This window comes from Homo sapiens, chromosome 21 (genome assembly GCF_000001405.40).
Source record: "Homo sapiens chromosome 21, GRCh38.p14 Primary Assembly".
Taxonomy (NCBI): domain Eukaryota; kingdom Metazoa; phylum Chordata; class Mammalia; order Primates; family Hominidae; genus Homo; species Homo sapiens.
Genome location: NC_000021.9, coordinates 16881676 through 16899879, shown reverse-complemented (window position 1 = coordinate 16899879; position 18204 = coordinate 16881676). Strand labels below are relative to the sequence as shown.

At 39.8% G+C, this 18204-nt stretch overlaps 1 long non-coding RNA gene across 1 annotated transcript; it reads left to right on the top strand.

Moving 5' to 3' along the window:
- Positions 1-10459: 10459 nt before the first annotated feature.
- LOC124904998 (uncharacterized) lies at positions 10460-14500 on the top strand. The gene is made up of 2 exons (XR_007067820.1): positions 10460-10585; positions 12389-14500. It is a non-coding gene; the product is annotated as an uncharacterized LOC124904998 (long non-coding RNA).
- The last annotated feature ends 3704 nt before the right edge of the window (positions 14501-18204 follow it).

Sequence of the window (18204 nt, the reverse complement as noted above, 5' to 3'; positions counted from 1 at the left end):
GCAAGATAGAGACTCAGGGAAGCCAATGGTATAGTTCCTATACTTCTTGTACAAAGGTTGGAAGGTTTGAGGTCCTAGAAGAGCTAATGTTTCAATCTGAGTCCAAAAGCAGGAAAAACAGTTGAAGTGCCAGCTCAAAGATAGGCAGATAGGAGGAATTTTCTCTTATTCAAGGAAGGGTCAGCCTTTTTATTGCATTCAGACCTTGAACTGATTGGATAAGGGCCACCCACATTAGAAAGTGTAATCTCCTTTACTCCAATTCAAATGTTAATCTCATCCAGACACACCACAGATACACCCAGAATAATGTTTGAAAAAATATCTGGGCACTCTGTGGCTGAATCAAAATGAATGATCACACCTGTTTTTGAAACTAGGCGTATTTGTTGCTTTCTTTGGCCGATAGAATGTGGCAGATATGTCATTGTGCCAGTTCCATTCTGGGTTTTGATTTTAAGAACCTGGTATATTTCATGTTCTCTCTTGAAATTAGCTGCCATATAAGAAGGGACACTAGTCTGAAACCATGATGCTTGGAGGAAGCCCACACTAGCCAAATGGAGTGACACTAAACCATTTAGTAAAGTCTTATTTGTCCTTTTAGCCTCAGATCAGCCAGTCCAGCTTCCAAGCTCAATGCTGCTAAGTGAATGACCATACACAGAGCAGAGAACTACCAAGCTAAGCCTAATAAAGATGAGATATTTCAGAAATAATAAACTATGAGTGTTTTAAGCCACTATGATTGGGGATGGTTTTTTACATAGCAATGAATACTGAAATAGAAATGAAGACAGTCACCAAAATCTTCAGAGAGATGATACATTAAAATTAAATATTAAAGAACACATTGGCATTGTCTCAGCAGGCAAGGGGAACAAAACAGAGTGAATACTATGTTCACAAGGCATATAGGCAAGAATGAACACTGATATGGTTTGGCTTTATGTCCTCACCCAAATCTCTTCTCAAATTGTGATCACCAGGTGTCTAGGAAGGGCCCTTGTCAGAGGTGATTGGAACATGCATACAGTTTCCCCCATGCTGTTCTCATGATAATGAATGAGTTCTCACAAGATCTGATGGTTTTATACAGGGGTCTTCCCCCTTTGCCCTGGTCGGAGGTGATTGGAACATGCGGACAGTTTCCCCCATGCTGTTCTCATGATAATGAGTGAGTTCTCACAAGATCTGATGGTTTTATACAGGGGTCTTCCCCCTTTGCTTGCTCTGTCTCACCCGCCACCATGTAAGGTGTACCTTCTTCCCCTTCTGCCATGATTGTAAGTTTCCTGAGGCCTCCCCAGCCATGTGGAACTGTAAGTCAATTAAACTTCTTGTCTTTATAAATTACCCAGTCTCGGGCAGTTCTTTATAGCAATGTGAGAGTGGACTAATACAACATTTTGATAGCCACAAGTCATTTGGTATTGTTGAAGCACTCTGCTTATTTCCTTCAATAACTATGGAGCTTTTCATGTGTATAAGAGTCCAGTTTATATTCTGGGCACTCAACAGAAAACAAGTTTGTTTCCAATTTTGTGGAGCTTACATTCAAGCAGGGGTGAGAAACAAAGGTAAACAGCTGAATAAGAGAGTATCAAATAGTAATAGAAGCAGAAAAAACGAATAAGTTTCATGCGCATCCGTGTGAAGAGACTACCAAACCGGCTTTGTGTGAGCAATAAAGCTGTTTATTTCACCTGGGTGCAGGTGGGCTGAGTCCGAAAAGAGAGTCAGTGAAGGGAGATAGGGGTGGGGCTGTTTTATAAGATTTGGATAGGTAAAGGAAAAAGGGGGGTTCTTCTCTGGCGGGCAGGAGTGGGGGGGTCACAAGGTACTCAGTGGGGGAGCTTTTGAGCCAGGATGAGCGAGGAAAAGGAATTTCACAAGATAATGCCATCAGTTAAGGCAGGAACAGGCCATTTTCACTTCTTTTGTGGTCGAATGTCAGCAGTTAAGGCAGGAACCGGCCACCTGGATGTGTACGTGCAGGTCACAAGGGATATGAGGGCTTAGCTTGGGCTCAGAGGCCTGACATTCCTGTCTTCTTATGTTAATAAGAAAAATAAAATGAAATAGTGGTAAAATGTTGGGACGGCGAAAATTTTGGGGAATGGTATGGAGAGATAATGGGCGATGTTTCTCAGGGCTGCTTCGAGCGGGATTGGGGCAGCGTGGGAACCTAGAGTGGGAGAGATTAAACTGAAGGAAGATTTGTGGTAAGGGGTGATATTGTGGGGTTGTTAGAAGAAACATTTGTCATTTAGAATTATTGGTGATGGCCTGGATATGGTTTTGTATGAATTGAAAAACTAAACGGAATAAGATAAGGAGAAAAACAGGTACTAAAGGAATAAGAATTGGGAGGATCCAGGACATCTAATTAGAGAGTGCCTAAGGAGGTTCAGCATAGCCCTGCCAGCAAAGATTATTTATTTACTTTAAGAGTTAGAGTGGCGGTTTGGGGATAGCACCAGGAGATATCAGCTGTGATGGCTTGGAGAAACAGTGTAAACTGGCAGTGTAAACAAGAGCAGGGCATGTATGAGTAGTTGAGAACGGTGAATAGGAGTATGACTAGACAGAAGACAGTAGTGATGACAAGTTTTTTGGGGCACAATCCAAGTTGGTCTGGTGTCTGGAATGAGACGGGGGCCTAATAAAAAGGTGCATCTATACAGGAGCTTAAATGGGCTGTACTTTGTAGCATTCTGAGGACACACCTGAATTCTGAGAAGGGAAAGTGGTAAAAGTATTGTCTGTTCTTTTTTAAGTTGGTGGCTGAGCTTGGTGAGGTGTGTTTTTAAAAGACCTTTAGTCTGTTCTACTTTTCCTGAGGACTGAGGACTGTAAGGAATATAAAGATTTCACTGAATACTAAGAGCCTGAAAAACTGCTTGGCTGATTGACTAATAAAGGCTGGTCAGTTATCAGACTGTATAGCGGTGGGAAGGCTAAACTGAGGAATTATGTCTGACAGAAGGGAAGAAATGACTGCAGTGGCCTTCTCAGACCCTGTAGGAAAGGCTTCTACCTATCTAGTGAAAGTGTCTGCTTAGACTAAGAGGTGTTTTAGTTTTTGTGACTCGGGGCATGTTGAGTAAAGCTAATTTGCCAGTCCTGGGTGGGGTCAAATCCCTGAGCTTGATGTGTAGGGAAGGGAGGGGGCCTGAATAATCCCTGAGGGGTAGTAGAATAGCAGATGGAACACTGAGAAGTTATTTACTTGAGGACAGATTTCTATGATGGAAAGGAAATGAGAGGTTTTAAGACGCGGGCTAGTGGCTTGTACTATAGCATAGCCTGCCTTTGCTGGTGTGTGGTGATTAGGCCTGGTGGAACTACCATCAATAAACCAAGTGTGATCAGGGTGAGAAACAGGGAAGAAGGAAATGTGGGGAAATGGGGTGAATGTCAGGTGGATCAGAGAGATGCAGTCATGAGGGTCAGGTGTGGTATCAGGAATAATGTGGGAGGCCGGATTGAAGTTGGGCCAGGAACAATGGTAATTGTGGGAGACTCAACAAAGAGTGAGTACAGCTAAAGGAGCCAGGGAGCAGAAAGTATATGTGTCAGGTGTTTGGAAGAAAATGGATTTTGGAAATTATGAGAGCTGTAGAGAGTGAGTTGAGCACAGTTTGTGATTTTAAGGGCCTCTAAAAGTATTAGGGCGGCAGCAGCTGCTGCACGGAGACATGATGACCAACCTAAAACAGTAAGGTCAAGTTGTTTGGACAAAAAGGCTACAGGATGCGATCCCGGTCCTTGTGTAAGAATTCTGACTGCACAGCCCTGCACTTCGGCTGTGTGTAATGAAAACGATTGGCATGAGTTAGGGAGAGCTAGAGTGGGGGCAGTCTCTAAAGCTGTCTTCAAGGAATGGAAAGAGAACTGGGGAAAGGATTTAGGATCTATGGGGTCAGCTAGGTTTCCTTTTGTGAATTTATATAATGATTTTGTCAGGATGGCAAAACCAGGTATCCACAGGCGAAAGTATCCAACCATGCCTAGGAAGGAAAGGAGTTGTTGTTTTGTAGAAGGGATTGGGCTTTGGGAGATTAGCCGGACACTATCGGCAGGGAGAGCACGTGTATTTTTATGAAGAATTATGCTGAGGTAGGTAACAGTTGGAGAAGAAATTTGAGCTCTGGAGGGGGATACCTGATATCCTTTGGAGAATAAATGCTGAAGGGGCAGAAGTGTGTCTTGTGGAGAAGATTCAAAGGAGGGGCTACAAAGAAGAAGGTCATCAATATATTGAATAAAGTGAGAAGCGGAGGGGTAGAAAGAAAGTAAATCATGAGAAAGAGCTTGGCTGAAGTAATGAGGGCCGTCCTTGAAACCTTGTGGCAGCACAGCCCAGGTAAGCTGCTGGGACTGATGGGTGTCAGGGTGAGTCCAGGTGAAAGCAAAGAGAGGCTGGGATGAAGGGTGCAAAGGAATAGTAAAGAAAGCATGTTTGAGATCCAGAACAGAATAATGGATTGTGGAGGGAGGTATTGAGGATAGGAGAGTATATGGGTTTGGCACCATGGGGCGGATAGGCAAAACTATTTGGTTGATAAGGTGCAGGTCTTAAACTAACCTGTAAGGCTTTTCTGGTTTTAGGACAGGAAAAATGGGGGAATTGTAAGGAGAGTTTACAGGCTTTAAAAGGCCATGGTGTGGCAGGTGAGTGATAACAGGCTTTAATCCTTTCTAAGCATGCTGTGGGATGGGATATTGGCATTGAGCAGGGTAAGAGTGATTAGGTTTTAAAGAGATGGTAAGGGGTGCATGATTGGTCGCCAAGGAGGGAGTAGAGGTATCTTATACTTGTGGGTTAAGGTGGGGTAATACAAGAGGAGGATGCAAAGGAGGCTTTGGATTGGGAAGAAGGGCAGCAATGAGATATAGCTGTAGTCCAGGAATAGTTAGGGAAGCAGATAATTTAGTTAAAGTGTCTCGGCCTAATAAAGGAACTGGGCAGGTGGGGATAACTAAAAGGAGTGCTTAAAAGAGTATTGTCTAAGTTGGCACCAGTTTGGGGAGTTTTAAGAGGTTTAGAAGCCTGGCTGTCAGTTATGGAGGCAAGGGAAACAGGCCCTTGAAAAGAAGGTAATGTGGAGTGGGTAGCCTCTGTATTGATTAAGAAGGGGACGGACTTACCCTCCACTGTGAGAGTTACTTAAAGCTCGGTGTCCGTGATGGTCTACAGGGCTTCCGAGGTAATCAGGCAGTGTTAGTCTTCAGCCGCTAAGCCGAGAAGATCTGGGAAGGAGTCAGAGAGCCTTGGGCCAGAGTTCCAGGGGCCCTGGGAGTGGCTACCAGGTGAGTTGAACAGTCTGATTTCCACTGGGATCCCACACAGATGGGACATGGCTTAGGAGGAATCCCAGGCTGCGGGCATTCCTTGGCCTGGTGGCCAGATTTCTGGCACTTGTAGCAAGCTCCTGGGGGAGGCAGTTCTGGAGGAATGCCTGGCCACTGTGGTTTAGGCATTTGGAAGTTCTTGTGTGCTGGAGATGTGGCTGGGGTTTGTCTCACAGTGGAGGCAAGGAATTGCAACTCAGAAATATGTTGCTACTTGGCTGCCTCTATTATTGCACACCTTGAGGGCAAGGTTAATTAAGTCCTGTTGTGGGGTTTGAGGGCCGGAATTTAATTTTTGGAGTTTTATTTAATGTCAGGAGCAGATTGGGTAATAAAATGTGTATTAAGAATAAGACGGCCTCTTGACTTTTTAGGGTCTAGGGCTGTAAAGCATCTCAGGGTTGCTGCCAAATGAGCCATGAACTGGGCTGGGTTTTTATATTTGATGAAAAAGAGCCTAAACGCTATCTGATTTGGGATAAAGAAACAGGAGCATTAACCTTGACTATGCCTTTAGCTCCAGCCACCTTTTTAAGAGTAAACTGCTGGGCAGGTGGGGGAGGGCTAGTCACGGAAGGAAACTGTAACCTGGACAGAGTGTGAGGAGGGGAGGTGATAAAAGGATTATAGGGTGGAGGAGTGGAGGCTGAGGAAGAATTAGGACCTAGCTTGGCCTGGCTAGAAGGGGAGAGATCAGATGGGTCTGTAGAAAAGGAAGATTAGAAAGACTCAGCGACACTTGGGGTTGGGACTGAGGGGACAGGTGGAAGGGAAAGAAGGAAGATTTGGGATGAGTTGCATTGGGAACAGAGACTAGGGAGGGACTGATGTGTAAAAGAATGCCTGGACGTCAGGCACCTCAGACTATTTGGCTATTTTACAACAAGAATTATTTAGATCTTGTAGGATGGAAAAAATGGAAATGCCATTTTCTGGCTATTTGGAACCACTGTCAAGTTTGTATTGGGGTCAAGTGGCATTGTAGAAGAAAATAAGGCATTTAGGTTTTAGGTCAGGTGTGAGTTGAAGAGGTTTTAAGTTCTTGAGAACACTGGCTAAGAGAGAAGAAGCAGGAATGGAGGGTGGAAGGTTGCCTATAGTGACGGAAGCAAGCCCAGAGAAAAGAGAGAGTAGAGACATGGAGGGAAGGGGTTCAGGGGTTCTTACCCTCCAGAAAAGTGGGAAAGGGGTTGGGGTGTGGAAATAAGGGGTTGGGGTGCAGAGATAAGACTTTGGGGCACAGAAATAAGGATTGGGGTGCAGAGATAAGAGGTCGGGGCATGGAAATAAGGGATTGGGGTTTCTTGCCCCCTAGATAAATGGAACTTGCTGCTAAGGGTGAAGGAGAAGGGGTTGAGGGGTTCTTGCCCCTCCCCCAGAAAAGTGGAGAAGGGGTAGAGACACGGAGAGAAGGGGTTGGGGTACTTGCCCCTCCCCCAGAAAAACAGGACTTGCCACTAAGGGTGAAGGACCAAGGCAGGCATCCCTGCGTGGTCTGACACCTCTGAAACCTGGGTGAATAATCAGAGAGGCATCCCTGCAATGATTAAACACAAAGGGAAGGCTGCCATCCCTAGTCTGTGACCAGCACCGGAGTTTTGGGTCCACGGATAAAACGTGTCTCCTTTGTCTCTGCCAGAAAATGAAAGGAATTAAAATTAAGAGAAGGGAGAAATTGAAGTGTGGCGCCAAGATTGAAAGGAGAAAGAGGTTGAGGGACAGTGAGAGAGGTTGGAGAAGAGAGTTAAAAGAGGCCGCTTACTGGATTTGAAATTGGTGAGATGTTTCTTGGGCTCATCAGTCTGAGGACCTGAGGTTGTAGGTGGACCTTTCTCACGGAGCAAAGAGCAGGAGGACAGGGGATCGATCTCCGAAGGGAGGTCCCCCAATCTGAGTCACGGCAACAAATTTCATGCCCATCCATGTGAAGAGACCACCAAACAGGCTTTGTGTGAGCAATAAAGCTGTTTATTTCACCTGGGTGCAGGTGGGCTGAGTCTGAAAAGAGAGTCAGCAAAGGAAGATAGGGGTGGGGCCCTTTTATAGGATTTGGGTAGGTAAAGGAAAAAGGGGAGTTGTTCTCTGGTGGGCAGGACTGGGTGTCACAAGGTACTCAGTGGGGGAGTTTTTGAGCCAGGATGAGCCAGGAGAAGGAATTTCACAAGACAATGTCATCAGTTAAGGCAGGAACAGGCCATTTTCACTTCTTTGGTGGTGGAATGTCCTCAGTTAAGGCAGGAACCAGCCACCTGGATGTGTACATGCAGGTCACAGGGGATATGATGGCTTAGCTTGGGCTCAGAGGCCTGACAATAAGAATACTAGAAAAGCTCTGTATGTGTGCGTGTGTGTGTGTGAGATATTTTAAGAGTGGTCACAGATGCCTTACTGTAAAGATAACATACACCCACCACTTGAAGAATGAGAAAGAGCCAGTCTAGCAAAGAGTAGGAGGAGAAACAATCTAGACAAAGGAATGGCAAGGGCAAACATCCTCTGGTAGAAGAATTTGGCACATTCAAGGAAATGAGAGAATGTTAGCATTGCTTGAGCACAGTAACAAAGAGAGGAATGTGGCAAGATGCCATGAGAGGGGAAGAAGGGACTTGTTTATGCAATGCCTCTTAGGACATGGGAGGGATTTGGACTATTATCCTAATGAGTATCAGAAATACTGAAGTGTATTAATTTGCTATACCTGTTATAATAAATAACCACAACTTTAGTGGCTTAAAACAACACATGTTTTATTATCATGCAGTTCTTGACTTCAGAAGTCTGAAACTGGTCCCCTTGGGCTAAATCAAGGCATCATCAGGGTTGTATTCCTTTCTGAAGTCTCTTGGAGATAATCTATTTCCTTGCTTTTCCCAGCTTCTAGTGACCACCTACATTCCCTGGCTTATGGCTTCTTCCACCACCTTCAATGCCAGCAGCATAGCATGTTCAAATAGCTCTCTGAATTTGACTTATCCCCCACCTGTTATTAGATTGGCCCCACCCAGTAAGAAAATTTCCTCATTTTAAGGTCAGTTGATTAGCAACCTCAATTTCATTGACAACCTGAATTTCCCTTTGCCATATAACCTAACGTATTCACCAGTTGGAGATTAGGACATGGGCATCTTTGGGTGGAAAGGGCATTAGTCTGCCTACAATAGGTGGTAAAATCAGCACAGTAGGAGCCCTCATAGAAGACATGGCATGAGTGTAGGAATATGTTGATTTCCATATAGTCAGAAATTGTACCCATATTTTTATGTATGCATACAAATAACTCTAATGACAAACAACAAATCATTTTTACATATTAAAAATAAGAAATCCAAATAGGTAATTTTGGTTGCTGAGTAAAGGTTTTCATAAGGATATTATGCAAGGGCATTTAGCTTTCAAGTAGGCTAACAGAATAATCAGAGAAAAATCAGAGCATTTATAGTTCAAATTATTATTTGACCATGAAACATTTTGATATCATAATATTTGGGTTGGTTTCTTCAATAAAACAAAACCAGAATTTCCCGGGGTTTGTGTAGCAAAACACCCTCTCTCATTTAGAGCTTGTTTCAGGAAACAGGGATTTCATAAGGACTCTGTTGCTTTTCATTACCTTTGTAGAAATGCCTGATAAGAGAAAGCTTCTGCTTTTCAGGGCCCATCTCTAAATCATAAGCCATGTCTTAGAAAAGATTTAATAAAAAAAAAAAAGTAAGTCAGAAAGAGTGAAGTCAGACCCTAGTTGTAGTCCTAGTCCTCCCTAAGGCACAAATTTGACCACAAATTTGCTTTCCAATATTTTGATTCAGTAGTATTAATTTATGTATTTCTCCTTCAGAACTGTTTTCTTGCTTTGCAGTTTGATAAATATTCAAAGACATTCTTGTTACAATATTTAACATAGCTAGAATCATACAATATTAAGATTAGGGAATTTACTTTTATTTATTAGCTTTGCAGATCCCCTGGTGACATTTTTCAAGTCACATTTATTATATCATAAATACCTTTATTGTTTTCACCAGTTCCTGTATTCCAAAGAGTAGAACCAAGAACCATTCAATTTGCCTCTTTTGTGTTTTACCCTCAGTGCTTTTAACTATAGGAAAATTCCCCTCAAATCCAAATTTGAGATCCCTAAGTTTACCAATGTTTCTGATTTTCTAGAAAGTGATGTCTTGATTACATGTAAGGATAAGCTCAATGAGCTACAGAGTAGGTGGAGAGAAATGTCTTGAAATGATTTTGTAGGCATTATTTACACACTGTCCTTTTTATTTAACTGTGGACTTGTCTTAGTTAATTAAATAAGATTTGCCTTTAAATGTAATATTTCTTACATATTTTATCTGATTTTATCCTGGTAGGAAGTATGAGAAAAAATTTCATAAATATAGAGTACATCTGTTAATATAGGTTTTAATGCCAGTTTGAGCATTTTTGAATACATTTTGAACAGTTTTCCAGACAAAACCATCAATAAGCATTAATATTCTACGTAATTATCCATCTTTGCTTCATAGGGTTATAATTTTTTAATATTTCTCATAGAACACCTTTCTTGAATTCTGAATGGTGAGTTAGAGGAAATTATAAAAGTGTTTTATTCCAGTTTGTACAAATTTATTTTGCTGAAACAAGGGTTTTACATATATGATAAAAAGGAAAAAGACTTCCTCCAGATGACCATCAGAATTTTGAACATTATAAACAATACCATCAATATTTCAATTAAAAATACCAATTAAGCCACATGTGCTATCTCATTCCTGTAATCTCAGCACATTGGGAGGCAGAGGCAGGAGGAATGCTTGAGTTCAGGAGGTTGAGACTAGCCTGGGCAACAGAGGGAGACCCCGTCTCTCCAGAAAAGTCAAAATTAGCTGGGCATTGTGGTATCCATCTGTGGTCCCAGCTACTTGGGAGGCTAAACTGGGAGGATCCCTTGAGTCTGGGAAGTTGAAGCTGCAGTGAGCTACGATTATGTCACTGTACTCCAGCTTGGGTGATAGACTGAGACCCCGTCTCAAAACCAAAAACAAAAAACAACTGAAATCTTGTTATCAGTTTCATTTAGTCTCGCATAATTAATTTTTATCCCTTCAGAACCAAAGGCATCAATAAGCATGCAGGAAGCCATCCACTCCTGGACCATGGTGTTTTGGAAATTCTGATTTAGTCCTCTGGCATAGTCTGGCAGGTGGTAATGGCAGCTTACACCGGGACTCTTGTAAGCATTAATCTACTCCTTTAACTACCAAGAGCCTACAGTAGCTGATATAGTCCTTACTGAGATTATCATTCCTTAGAAGTTTCCTCCAAAAGATGTAATTTCTTTCCTATAGCTTATATAGCATGAGCTTTAAGGGCAATGTTGTGGTTGAGGGGAACATGTTTTATATGACATGACTGAATGCTCACTGTAAATTTTATAATAGTCACCAAAAATATAAGAACAGAGGAGATTAAAATTTCCTGTTGAGGCATAATCTATCATTTTTTAGAAAGGATCCAGTTAAAGTTTACCCTGTATATAAGAACATAATGTGAACACTAGGAACACTGAAAAACCTCCAGAGCTTTCGAGCCATTCAGTAGAATATGTGTTACATGTGCAGCCAGCTGAGAAGGGTATTAAAAACCTAAAGACAACATTTTAAAGAATCGATTTGTTCTAGCAATATCATGCCAGGCTTTGCACATGAACGTGAGAACACTTCAGTCTATCCTGAAACCGAATGACTGGAAATAAGTTCTTATTAACAGTATCTTACTTGTACATAATTGACCTATGGAAGTTGAGCTTCTCTTTTTGATTTGACAGCTCTTCCTATACTGTTGGTTTGACAAATAGAATGGCTCTCTTTCACAATTGTGGTGATCTAATAAACAATAGAAAATACCAAACCTATCTAATTATTTCTAGTCACTCCTCGTTAGAAGGAAAATGAGCAAATATTGCACAAAAGAGTAAGGATGTCAAATATATCTAAACAGTTTTATTATTTTAAATTTCATGCTTGAGTTTGGGAAACGCAATATCAAAAAGATTGGTGAGAGGACACTGATCACTATATCAAAATATGAGAATAAGTCATGGGTAAATTATTGTAGTCTTGAGTTCTATTAGAGTGATGGTATATTAAATAATAGAAGAAGGTAACATAAAACTACTTATTTCAGAAGTGAAACATTTTATTGTTTATTATCAAATAATTTATAAGTAGGATGAAAACAACAGGATTGCAGGAGAGAGAATTCTGATGGGTTAAGAAAACTCTGCAATCTGGGCTGATTACACAGAATAATCCATTAGCCTTTTTTACGAAATGGCTAAATACTTCCAGACCAATTTTAAATTATTAATCCTCTACTCTTTATCATACCAAGCTTTATTTGTCTAGTAATTTGGATATGTTTACATAACCTTATAAAAATGTATGATCAGATACTAAATTAAAGCTTTCAACTTTAGCTTGAAAATATTAACTTAACAGCATAAGATGATGCACATAACTTGCTGAAATTTTTACTTTAATTAGAGGGATTACTTGTTCATTAACTTAATTTAATACTAGCCCAAAGTCTTAAAGTCAATTAATAATCTTGGAAATTGCATTTAAATTGCCCCTACAGAACAACACAATCAAAATGGATATAAACTGTTTCTCAGAGAGATAACCTTTTATAATTTCACTAAGATAGAGTAGGCGGAGTATTAGTGATTAAGTTCACAGGATTTGCAACATAGGTTCCACTTCACAAGTTCTTTTAAAGGGTATTAATATTTATAATTCCATTCAGTTAAACACATACGTTTATATTCTCATAGCCTTACATAATTTATGGAAACAATAATAATCTTTCCCATAAACATAGCATAGGAAATTTAGCAAACTCTAATGATTAGATTAGCAATAAAAAATTATACTCAGGTCTTACATAAAATATGCTTGCTGTGATAGACTGCAAAAATGGCTGGACATTCTTCTGCCTTTTTATGCATCCTTCCCTTTGTAATGTTACTTTGCAGCTCCATTCGTCAGAAGGTGGAAACCTTTTCACTGTTTCTTGAATCTGGGCTTGGCCATGTGACTTGCTTTGGGCAAAGGGACATATCAAAAGTGACATAAGCAGTGGCTAAAAACCAAAATGAGACTTCTCTCTCTGATCTTGAGAACGTTGTAATCACTGAATGAGTCCAAATAAACCTGCTGGATGAAGAAACAGTTGGCAAAGTCATTGCCACTATCCAACTTACAGCAAGCCTACTGCCCGATACATGAATGAGGCTATCTGAAAACCCAGCACCAATGAATCTGGCTCAGAGAAGAACCAAGAACCAGCCAGGTGAACCGCTGAAGCATAAAAATAAATATTTACTGTCTAAAGCAAATTGTTGTTTAACACAACAGAAGTTAACTGATATAAAAACTAGTACCCGGTGTGGGGTGTTGCTATAACAAAACCTAAAACATCTAATAAAATACTAAAATACATAGTATTGGCTTTGGATGGAGGCTGAAAAAACAGTGAAGAAACTGTTAGTGAAGGTTGAGACAGTGGCAGACAAAGTTGTGCTATAGTGGAATATTTGGCAAAGCTTTCATCTGCAGAAACTTGGAAGATAGAAAATGTACCTAATGAACTTGTGCCTCTAAAAAGATTTGATGATAGATGCTGAGTGTGTCAACTGGCCCCTGTTAGCTGCATATAATAATATGGAAACAGACAGAATAAGTTTAAAAATGAACAGTTTTGTTTACAAGCAGATTTTAGAAGAAATAAAAAGAAGCCAGGAATTGCTGGGTCAAAAAATAAATTGTCTCCCACGTTGGTTAAAATTCACAAAGTAGGAAATGGCCTAGTATAAAGACAGACAAAGATGTGGCTGGTTATAAGATTCATTTTTAAAAAACCTCTAAAAGTTCTAAGGTGGACAGAAGAGTCCTCAGCAAGATAAATTGTCTCCTAATAATTCTAAGGGCATTTTTTTTTTCATAGCAGCCTACCACATCTAAAGTGGAGGAAGGCCTGTTTTGAAATGATTTAGATGTGAATTTTGGAAGTGGAGAATTTTAGAAATTACATACAATAGATGTAAATCAGATCCATAGGCAATCCATGAGTTTTTAAAGACCATTATACTAACAAATCACTGCCAGCTTGGACTAAAATCAATTACAAAAAGAAAGTTTTCTAGGCTTCCAACATTTTGGGGGCAGAAATCAGACTGAGAATCATGGCCGTTTCTAGTTCGAAGGATGAAAATCCTAGAGGTGGAGGCAAGAGATCCAGAGAAAAACAGACAGACAAATCACTCTCAAGGAGCCGAAATAGAACTCAATCAAGGAGCTTACACAGACTTAGAGCAGGGGATCCTTTTAACATGTACCTGGATGGATTTCAGAATTTGTTAGACCAATGGCTGCTCTATGCCTCCCATTCCTCATTTTTCTGATCAGAAGTATCTATTACAATTACTCTGCTCCCATCTCACCCTTGTATATTAGGTTGGTTGACCACTGGTAACTTACATTTTTAGTTTATAAGTCTCTGGATGAAGAGCAGCTGCATCCAATGGGTCATATTTATACCTATATTAGAAACAAATTATAAGAACCTGGACTTTGAACCAGATGACATAATTGAATGAGACTACTGAAATTCTGGAAGTAAGCATATTTTTCATTTAGGAGAATATAATTTGTGGCTGAAAACAGTCTGCAGTAGATTTTAAAAATTGCTACAAATGTTCCATCTCTTTATACATATCATTTTACAACCTGATTTTGTAGTTCCTTCCATCAACGGTTGGTCTATTTCGTGAATCTACCTGTTCTTTCTAGGCTTGGTCATGTGAATTACTTTGGTCAATGAGACATGAACAAATATGATACAAGCAGAGGCTTTAAAAGACTTGCATATTGGAGCTTGCCCTCATTTTCTGCACTTGGAATTCTGCAATTGCCATCATGTGAACAAGCCCTGGCTAGCCTCCTGGATGATTATAGCCAAATCACCTCCATCACTCAAGGTGACACTGAGTCAACTGCCTGAAGCCATCCTAGACCATCCAGCTTCAGCTGAAACAGCCCAGAAGAAGAATCATATGAAATAATAAATTATTGTTGTTTGAAAACTACTAACCGTTAGAGTGGTTTCTGACTCATCAGAAACTAACATATATTATGTTCTTCATGGCAATAAGGTGAAAGAAAAGATGCATAATTTCTTTAAGCCAAAATTCGAAAGCAACTTAATTCATTGAAAGATTTACTTTGTTCCCCTTCCTGTGTCCATGTGTTCTCATTGTTCAATTCCCACCTATGAGTGAGAATATGCGGTGTTTGGTTTTTTGTTCTTGCGATAGTTTACTGAGAATGATGATTTCCAATTTCATCCATGTCCCTACAAAGGACATGAACTCATCATTTTTTATGGCTGCATAGTATTCCATGGAAAAGAACGTTAAAAAAAAAGAAAGATTTACTTTGATTAAAGTAAATGTTACACAAATGAGATACTTATAATTCTTCTGTATTCATTTATCAAATATTAAATATTTTAAAGAAGATTTTATTTTATTTTATTTTAAGTTCCAGGATACATGTGCAGAATGTGCAGGTTTGTTACACAGGTAAACATGTGCCATGGTAGTTTGCTGCACCTATCAATCCGTCACCTAGGTATTAAGCCCTGCATGCATTAGCTATTTGTCCTGATGCTCTCTCTCCCTTTTCCCCTCTGACAGGCCCCTGTGTGTGATGTTCCCCTCCCTGTGTCCATGTGTTCTCATTGTTCAGCTCCCACTTATGAGTGAGAATATGCAGTGTTTGGTTTTCTGTTCCTGTGTTAGTTTGCTGAGGATGATGGATTCAAACGTAATCCATGCCCCTGCAAAGGATATGATCTCATTCCTACTTATGGCTGCATGGTATTCAATGGCATATATGTAACACATTTTCTTTATCCGGTCTATCATTGATGTGCATTTGGGTTGGATCCTTGTCTTTGCTATTGTGAATAGTGCCACAATAAACATAGATGTTTATTTATAATAGAATGATTTATATTCCTTTGGGCATATTCCCAGTAATGGTATTGCTGGGTCAAATTGTATTTCTGGTTCTAGATCCTTAAGGAATCACCATACTGTCTTCCACAATGGTTGAACTAATTTACATTCCCACCAACAGTGTAAAAGTGTTCCTATTTCTCCTATCTCTTGCCAGCATCTGTCATTTTTTGACTTTTTACTCATTCTGACTGGCGTGAGATGGTATCTCATTGTGGTTTTGATTTGCATTTCTCCAAGGTTCAGTGATGTTGAGCTTTTTTTCATATGTTTTTTGGACATATAAATATCTTCTTTTGAGAAGTTTCTGTTCATGCCCTTTGCCCACTTTTTGATAGGGTTGTTGTTTTTTTCTTGTAAATTTATTTAGGTTCCTTGTAAATTCTGGATATTAGACCTTTCTCAGATGGGTAGATTGCAAAATTTTTCTCCCATTCTCTAGGTTTCCTGTTTGCTCTGATGATAGTTTCTTTTGCTGTGCAGAAGCTCTTTGGTTTAATTAGATCCCATTTGTCAATTTTAGCTTTCGTTGCAATTGCTTCTGGTGATTTCATCATAAAATCTTTGCCCATGCCTTTGTCCTGAATGGTTTTGCCTAGATTTTGTTCTAGGGTTTTTATGGTTTTGGTTTTACATTTAAGTTTTTAATCCATCTTGAGTTAATTTTTGTATAAGGTGTAAGGAAGGGGTCCAGTTTAAGTTTTCTGCATATGGCTAGCCATTTCTCCCAGCACCATTTATTAAATAGGGAATCCTCTCCCCATTGCATGTTTTTCCCAGGTTTGTCAAAGATCCAAGGGTTGTAGATGTGTGGTCTTATTTCTGAGGTCTCTATTCTGTTTCACTGGTCTATATGTCTGTTTGGGTATCGGTTCCATTCTGTTTTGGTTACTGTTGCCTGTCAGCTTAAGCATAGTTTGAAGTCAGGTAGTGTGATGCCTCCTGCTTTGTTCTTTTTGCTTGGGATTGTCTTGGCTATACAGGCTCTTTTTTGATTCCACATGAATTTCAAAGTATTTTTTTTCTAATTCTGTGAAGAATGTCAATGGTAGTTTGATGGGAATAGCAATGAATCTATAAATTACTTTGGGCAGTATGGCCATTTTCACAATATTGATTCCTCCTATCCATAAGGATGGAATTTTTTTCCATTTGTTTGCATCCCATTTTATTTCCTTGAGCAGTGGTTTGTAGTTCTTCTTGAAGAGGTCCTTCATGTGCCTTGTTAGCTGTATTCCTATGTATTTTATTCTCTTTGTAGCAATTGTGAATGGGAGTTCACTCATGATTTGGCTCTCTATTATTGATGTATACGAATGCTTGTGATTTTTGCACATTGATTTTGTATCCTCAGACTTTGCTGAAGTTGCCTGTCAGATTAAGGAGCTTTTGGACTGAGACGATGATGAGGTTTTCTAGATATAGGATCATGTGTCTGCAGAGACATTTTGATTTCCTCTCCTATTTGAATACCCATTATTTATTTCTCTTGACCGATTGTTCTAGCCAGAACTTCCAACACTATGTTGAATAGGAGTGGTGAGAGAGGGCATCCTTGTCTTGTGCTGGTTTTTAAAGGGAATGCTTCCAGCTTTTGCTTATTCAGTATAATATTGGCTCTTATTATTTTGAGATATGTTCCATCAATACCTAGTTTATTGAGAGTTTTTAACATGAAGCAATGTTGAATTTTATGGAAGGCCTTTTCTGCATCTATTGACATAATCATGTGGTTTCTGTTATTGGTTCTGTTTCTGTGATGAATTATGTTTATTGATTTGCATATGTTGAACCAGCCTTGCATCCCAGGAATGAAACCGACTTGATCGTGGTGGATAAGCTTTTTGATGTGCTGCTGAATTTGGTTTGCCAGTATTTTATGGAGGATTTTCACATTGATGTTCATCAGCGATATTGGCTTGAAGTTTTCTTTTATGTTGTGTCTCTGCCACGTTTTGGTATCAGGATAATGCTCACCTCATAAAATGAGTTAGGGAGTAGTCCCTTCTTTTCAACTGTTTTGAATAGTTTCAGAAGGAATGGTACCAGCTCCTCTTTTTACCTCTGGTAGAATTTGGCTGTGAATCCGTCTGGTCCTGGGATTTTTTTTTGGTTGGTAGGCTATTAATTTCTGCCTCAATTTCAGAACTTGTTATTTTTCTATTCAGGGATTTGACTTATTCCTGGTTTAGTCTTGGGAGGGTGTGTGTGTTCAGGAATGTATCCATTTCTTCTAGATTTTCTAGTTTATTTGCATAGAGGTGTTTATTCTTTAATGTTTGTTTGTATTTCAGTGGGATCAGTGCTGATATCCCCTTCCTCATTTTTATTGTGTCTATTTGACTCTTCTCTCTTTTCTTCTTTATTAGTCTAGCTAGCAGTCTATCAATTTTATTAATTTTTTCAAAAAAACAGCTCCTAGATTCACTGATTTTTTAAGGGTTTTTTGTGTCTCTATCTCCTTCAGTTCCACTCCAATCTCAGTTATTTCTTCTCTTCCGCTAGCTTTTGGATTTGTTTGCTCTTGGTTCTCTAGTATTTTTAGTTGTGATGTTAAAGTGTCAATTTGAGATCTTTATAGCTTTCTGATGTGAGCATTTAGTGCCTTAAATTTCTCTCTTAACACTGCTTTAGCTGTATCCCAGAGATTCTGGTACATTGTGTCTTTGTTCTCATTGGTTTCAAAGAACTTCTTGATTTCTTCCTGAATTTCATTATTTACCCAGTATTCATTCAGGAGCAGATTGTTCAGTTTTGATGTAGTTGTGTGG